Source organism: Homo sapiens, chromosome X, assembly GCF_000001405.40.
Source record: "Homo sapiens chromosome X, GRCh38.p14 Primary Assembly".
Lineage (NCBI taxonomy): Eukaryota > Metazoa > Chordata > Mammalia > Primates > Hominidae > Homo > Homo sapiens.
The window spans coordinates 38,690,641-38,697,416 of record NC_000023.11 but is presented as its reverse complement, the minus strand read 5'-3'; positions in this window follow the sequence as shown (position 1 = coordinate 38,697,416).

Below are 6,776 nucleotides of genomic sequence, written 5' to 3'. Positions count from 1 at the left end.
ATAATTATGGAAGACTCCATAAAGGGAGTCTCCCTAGTGCCAGTCTTTGCTGTCTCATCCTAATGAACAGCCTGCCCTGAATTCCCTCTCTCAGGGTGTACTGTTTATTCTGCACCTAACTTTCACAATATTCTTTTTCTTTAGCAATAAATTACTGTATGCCATACCTCCTTTGCTGTGTGTCTCTTGTTTAAATTCTTTTAAGCCAAGAAGAACTGAAGTATCACATCAGCCATCAACATTCCCACTTCTTTTAATCCAAACCAGACTGATTTGGACCTTCCCGCCATTTGAGTCCAAGTTGGTCTCACCATTACCACCATTCTGGGTTTCCATCCTACTTTCAGCCCTATGGTTATTGATAGTGGAACTGTACACATTTGTAGCTCCAAAGAAGAGTGTGAGCTAGATATTTGAAGACAGAAGTCACTACCATCAACATGGTAATTGAAGCAACACAGATGGATGAAATTGTCCAGGAGGAGAGCACAGAGAAGACAGACTGGGTTTGAGACTCAGGTACTCAATCTTTAAAGAAAATGGTTTCCTACGCTTTGCTGTACCTCCCTAATACGCCCCACCACCATATATACAAACCTGTACAACCAGATTATCACAAATTTCTTCAACTGTATCCTAATTTCTAGACCCTTACTATTCTGGAGGGTATGTTGGACACAGTCATTTATCAGTTTATCAGTGTCTGCTTAAAAATGTAATATTTTGGCTACCAAAGCAATTACAAATAAAACAACGCTACCACTCCATTTCCTTAACAGTATCAACCATAACTTAAAAGAATCCTCATGAAGTAAATAAAGGTAATGGAAGAATGGGTAAAATCAAATACCAAGTTATTTTTAATGATTTTTAAGAGCGATTTTACCAAGAGATGTGTGGTAATACAGAATTGAGATAATTACTATTTTTTTTACAAGAAGTTGATATCCAGAAATTAGAAAATCTCCCAAGATAATGGAAAAATAGCTTTGACATTTTGAAAAATTTCAGTTTGATTTTGTTGACTATCAGAACTTCCACCTTCATAAAAAAGAAAACAAACAAACAAAAACAAATACAAGTAATAAAAAAAAGAACTACCCCCTAAAGAGAAATATTTGAGGAGGTGATGCCAAAAAAGTCTTGGCTGGTCATGAAAGAAATGAAAAACATTGGCCAGGCGTGGTGGCTCACGCCTGTAATCCCGGCACTTTGGGAGGCTGAGGTGGGTGGATTACGAGGTCAGGAGTTCGAGACCAGCTTGGCCAAGATGGTGAAACCCTGCCTCTACTGAAAATACAAAAATTAGCTGGGCGTGGTGGCGAGCACCTGTAATCCCAGCTATTCGGGAGGCTGAGGCAGGAGAATTGCTTGAACCCGGGAGGTGGAGATTGCAGTGAGCCAAGATCACACCTCTACACTCTAGCCTGGGTGACAAAGCAAGACTCCATCTCAAAAAACAAACAAACAAACAAAAAATGAAAAACATCAAGATCAATGAGAGTAGAGTATTAACTTGTAAAATGGTTCTCTTCCTTAGTTTAGTTGCTATTCTTTGTTAACTGTGAGAGTCACTCAATAAATCCCAAAGGGAAGTGAATAAAGTATAGTTGTGGCAGGTTGCCTGCAAGACAGCCACCAGTGGTCCCAGTTTCTTAATATTCACACCCTTGTGTCATCCTCCTGTGTCCTAGATTAACTCATTGACTTCTAACAAATAGACTATTACAGAAGTGGTAGCGTGTTAGGTTATAAAATAGTGACTTCTGTCCTGAACACTCTCTCTTTGATTGCTCATCTTGGGACAAGCCAACTACCAGGTGCTGAGACAGTCTTGTGGAGAGGCTCATGTGGAAAGGGACCCAAGGCCTGGCAACAGTCAACTGAATGAGTTCAGAAGCTGATTCCTTTCCCCCAAGTTGAGCCTTCACGGGAGACTACAGCCCCGACCAATAGCTTGACCATAACCTCATGAGAGAACGTGAAAGCCAGGGGCATCGAGCTAAGCCACACTTGGATTCCTGATGCACAAAAACCTGTGATAATAAATGTTTGTTATTCTAAACTGCTAAGTGATGGGGTTATGTGTTATAAAGCAATAGATAAGACAGTTATAGTCATAGATATCACATTGGCCTTTCACAATCAACTGTACAAACCTGAATTATTATAGTAGACTACTAGATTACAAGATCTGCTATATATATGGAAATTAATCAACACTGCTTGAAAGCATTTTCTTATTCTTCTGCTATATATATGGAAATTAATCAACACTGCTTGAAAGCATTTTCTTATTCTTCTTCACGTCTCATGGTCTAAATCCAGTAGGTCTTCAAATAATCATTTTTTAAATTAAATTATATCACTCCCTGGAAATGCCACACACTAGGTCAAAAGTTCTGTGCATATATATCATCCAGTACTGTTTGTTGCAGAGAGCTAACAGGGCCAGGAGGAGTTCATTTATCTGTTCCTGGACCCTTTTAGTGTTTATTAACATATTTTTACATGCTTTAGGTTCTATTAGGAAACAAAGACAACCATTTTTCCTCCTCCAAGGAACATAATTCTGGGGATTCTGGCTATAAGTCTACGTGAGAATCAAGGTTGGATCATACCAGTTCTACTCAAGACACATAGTTATTTTGAGGGCATTGGGAAAAATTATGACATAACTATGAGACAAAAATAGTGATGCATTAACTGGTAGAAAAGAAGACATGAGGCAAAAAAGGAATGCCACAGAATTCTAGAGATAAAACCGCAAATAGGACGTAAGGAACAACTGAAATAACCTAAAAAAATATATTCGTGTAAGACCGGATAAGCTCTGGCACACAGTTTAAGGACTTGGAGTTCATTCATTCGTTACTCATAAAGTAATTTGAGAACCTGGAAAGTGCTTACTTCTGTGCCAGTCACTGGGGGGGATACAAAGACAGTACTGACATCATCCTTGCCCTCAAGAACACTATTAAAAGATCCTAATCAACTGTGAATAAAATTACTTACATGTAAAATAATTAGAGAACTAGAAGGCAGCATATAATACACTGCAAATAATATAATATACATCCTGGCAACATGGCAAACTGGAAATAAATGGACCTAGATACATTAGGCAAAACGTCTAATAGTGGATTAAAAATATGTTTAGGAAATAAATATACACTGCTAAATGAAATTTACAGGAGGCCATTGTTTTGGACCAAGCTTCTGTTCTAGGCCCCAACAGACCAGACTAAAAATCCAAATGAAGTCACCTATCCTAAAGTCACTACTAAACCTGAACTAAGTTGTTTTCTGACATTGCAAGGAGAAACAGCTAATTTCCCTAGCAGGCCAGTTTATAATCTTCAATAGGCTTGATAATGAAGTTCCCTCTGCTTTAATTCTTACACAAAAAAGTGTCCCCAAGTAACCTGATGTTAACTATTATTTTTCTGTTGCCCTGTTTCCTTGTCCTGCTTTACAAGAAAAGTAGATTTGAAAGGACTACTATGCTCTTTGTTCTTTGCTTCTGCTTTCTTCAGACTTTCTCTGTCGATAAAGCCAATTCCTTCTGCTCATCTCATTAAAACACTGATTCTGTTTCACGGAATGAAGTGTTGCCCAATTCTGGAATCACAAATAAAGCCAATGAAGATCTTTAAACTTAACTTGTTATAATTTTGTCTTTTGATGATACTTTACTGTTGCAAATTGAGTTTACCACATATAGATCTCTGAACCCAGAAGGATTAAGAGGCAAGAAGCAATGGGGCAAAAACAAAATTTAGGTACACATTTAGGTAAGTCTAAATAAACTGTAAAGCCACTAATAGTTAATATTCATTTGGGGAGATGGTAGAAATAAAATGTCAGGCAACAAAAATATAGAAGTTAAGTGAGTGGTGACTAGAATTAAAACAATCCAAGGTCTTTTTGTTATTTTGGAGAAAGAGCCCTATCTTTCTCAAGAATCCTTGTTCTGATTAATTTTACATGCAAATATTCATGTTAAGAGATTAATGTTAACCTCTAAAACAATAAAAATATAATCTATAATTTCCAAAGAAGAAATATATATATATCTGATTCAAGAGAAGACAGAAAAGAAGCAAAATAGGAAAGAAATGAATAGTAGACAGAAAAAATAATATGGTAGAAATAAAACCAAAACATCAGTAATAACACTTAATTGTTAAAGCTTTCTCAGACTGGACTGAATAAGAAAACATAATGCAGTTATGTGTTGTGAAACACACATGTCTAGACATGTCTAACTCAAAAATATTACAGACTGAAACCAGAGAGATATAGAATAATACTCTTGGCAAATACTCATCAAAAGAAAAAATAATTGTAACTATAATATCAGACAAAATGAATGTTAAAGAAAAAAATCATAATTGAGGGAAAAGAAAGTCCATAATGACAAAGGAAATGATTCATCTGTGAGACATAATCTTAAACTTGCATGTCCCTAACAATAAAGCTTAAAAATATATAAAGCAAAAACTGAAAGAATCTACAGTCATAGTGGGGGATTTTAATGCATCATTCTTAAAAACTGAAAAACAGATAAAATATTCATAAGAACAGATGATTTTACTAATATTCATAAAATTTACCATTTGAATATATTCAAAGGCTTGTCCTAATCCTGCACCCAACAATTAGAGAAGATACATACTTTCAAGTACACACAGAACAAACACTGCCCACATACCCAAGCACAAAGCAAGTCTCAACAAATGAAGAATCTTTATTATACAAACCAAGTTTTTTGAACAAAAAAGCCCTAAAATCCATGTTTGGAAACTTTAAAAAAAAATTCTCATTGTATAGTTCAATGCATAAATTCTAATGGAAACTGCAAGATGTCTAGAACTGAAAGACAACAAAAATTTCAAATTAAAACTGAAATGCAGTTAAAGTAGTACTTACATGAGAATTTACAGCCTTTCATGAAATTATTAGAAAAGATGGTTAAAAATATTAATGAGCTAAGAATTGACAAAAGAGAAAATCCAGGGAAACCCAAAGAAAACAGAAGGAAGAATAGATATTAATGAAATAAAAACCAAACAATAGAAAGGATGAAACCGAAAGGCTGGTTTTTTGAAAATACATAAAATAGACAAATTTTCAGCATGAATGGAAAAAAGGAAAGAAAGAAATAATGCTAGGAATGAAAAAGGGAACAAAAGTAGGTGTCATTAAAATTTCAAAAATAAGACATTACTATAACAACTTTATAAACTTGAAAGCAGGAAAAATGGACAACATTCTGAAAAATATTAATACTTGATTTAAAATGTGGGGCATAGAAGACAGTTGCCACAGTAGGCTAGGACTGCAGTTACCAAAAGAACATCACAGATAAGATGGTGTTTGAAGATGGGAAGCTTCGGGAGAAGGCATGCCAAACAGGGAGAATGAAAGCATGGGATAAAAGAATCTCAAGTAAATGGGACAGACACGGAGCACAAGGTGAAAAACGTAAGCTGAAGCCGTATTCTAGTACAGCGTTTCCCACTCTGCCTGAACATTCTAATCAACTGGGGAGTTTTAACAAAGAAAAAGCTCAGGCCAAACCTCAACAATCTCTGCGCTGGGCTATGATTTATAATCTCAAAAATCTATTACCTAAGTTTTGTTCAAAGGCTTTTAACATTGACAATTAAATGTGTGCAAACAAGAAAACCTTTGTTTTGTGTATTTTGTTACTTTAAACCTAAATTCCTTAGCCTGTCCCCCAATATTTTTTTCTGAGTCTGATTGCTAGGGGATGCCCCAATATTTTATTTCATTTTATTTATTTTATTTTTAGAGACAGGATCTTGCTCTGCTGCCCAGGCTGGAGTACAGTGGCACGATCATTGCTCACTGCAGCCTCAAACTCCTGGGCCAAAGTGTTCCTCCTGCCTTAGCCTTCTGAGTAGCTCGGATTACAGGCATGAGACACTGGGCCTGGCTCCTGACATTTTCAAATGACACGTTTTAATTATTTCCTCCTCCCAACTGCAAATCTTTTTATTTGTAGAAAATGTAAACTAATTACATTAGCATAAGCACAACACAAATAAAAGGCAAAGCTCTTTCTAAAGTCAACCAACAAATAGTGGAGGCATTGTGGAATCAAACATTGCTCTTGCTAGGAAGAAAGGACTTTTAATATTTTGAATTATTTGTGTCATTGCTTCTACATCTAACCAGATGTATTGTTAATCCAGAACTCACTTTTCTTGAAAAGGCAAGTCCCAGGCTGGGAGAAAAGATTTGCAATACATACATCCAAGAAAGGACCTGTGTCCAGAATATAGAAAGAATTCCTACAAATCAATAAAGACAACTGATTTTAAAATACACAAAATACTTGAACATCTTACAAAAGAAGAAATCAAATCTCCATGTGTGCTCCCACCCCACCAAAATAACATCAGGCAGCAGGGAAGCCAAAGGGTTAGATGTTTAAAATTATTGTTATGGACACTTCAGAAACTTTAACTATTTATCATGAACAGAATACAATGAAATAGTCAATGTCAATGAAAAAGTGAAAGTGTGAGGCAAATTAAATCTAGATAACACTATATATCTATAGAATGGCTAAAATAAAACAGACTGAGAATAGCAAGTGTTGGTGAGGATGTGGAACAACTAGACCTTTTTTACATTGCTGATGGAAGTATAAATTAGTATAACCACTTTAGGAAAATGTTAGGTAGTACTTTCTAAAGCTAAACATACCTTATTTTCAAGCAATCTTACACGTTTATTTATGTCCA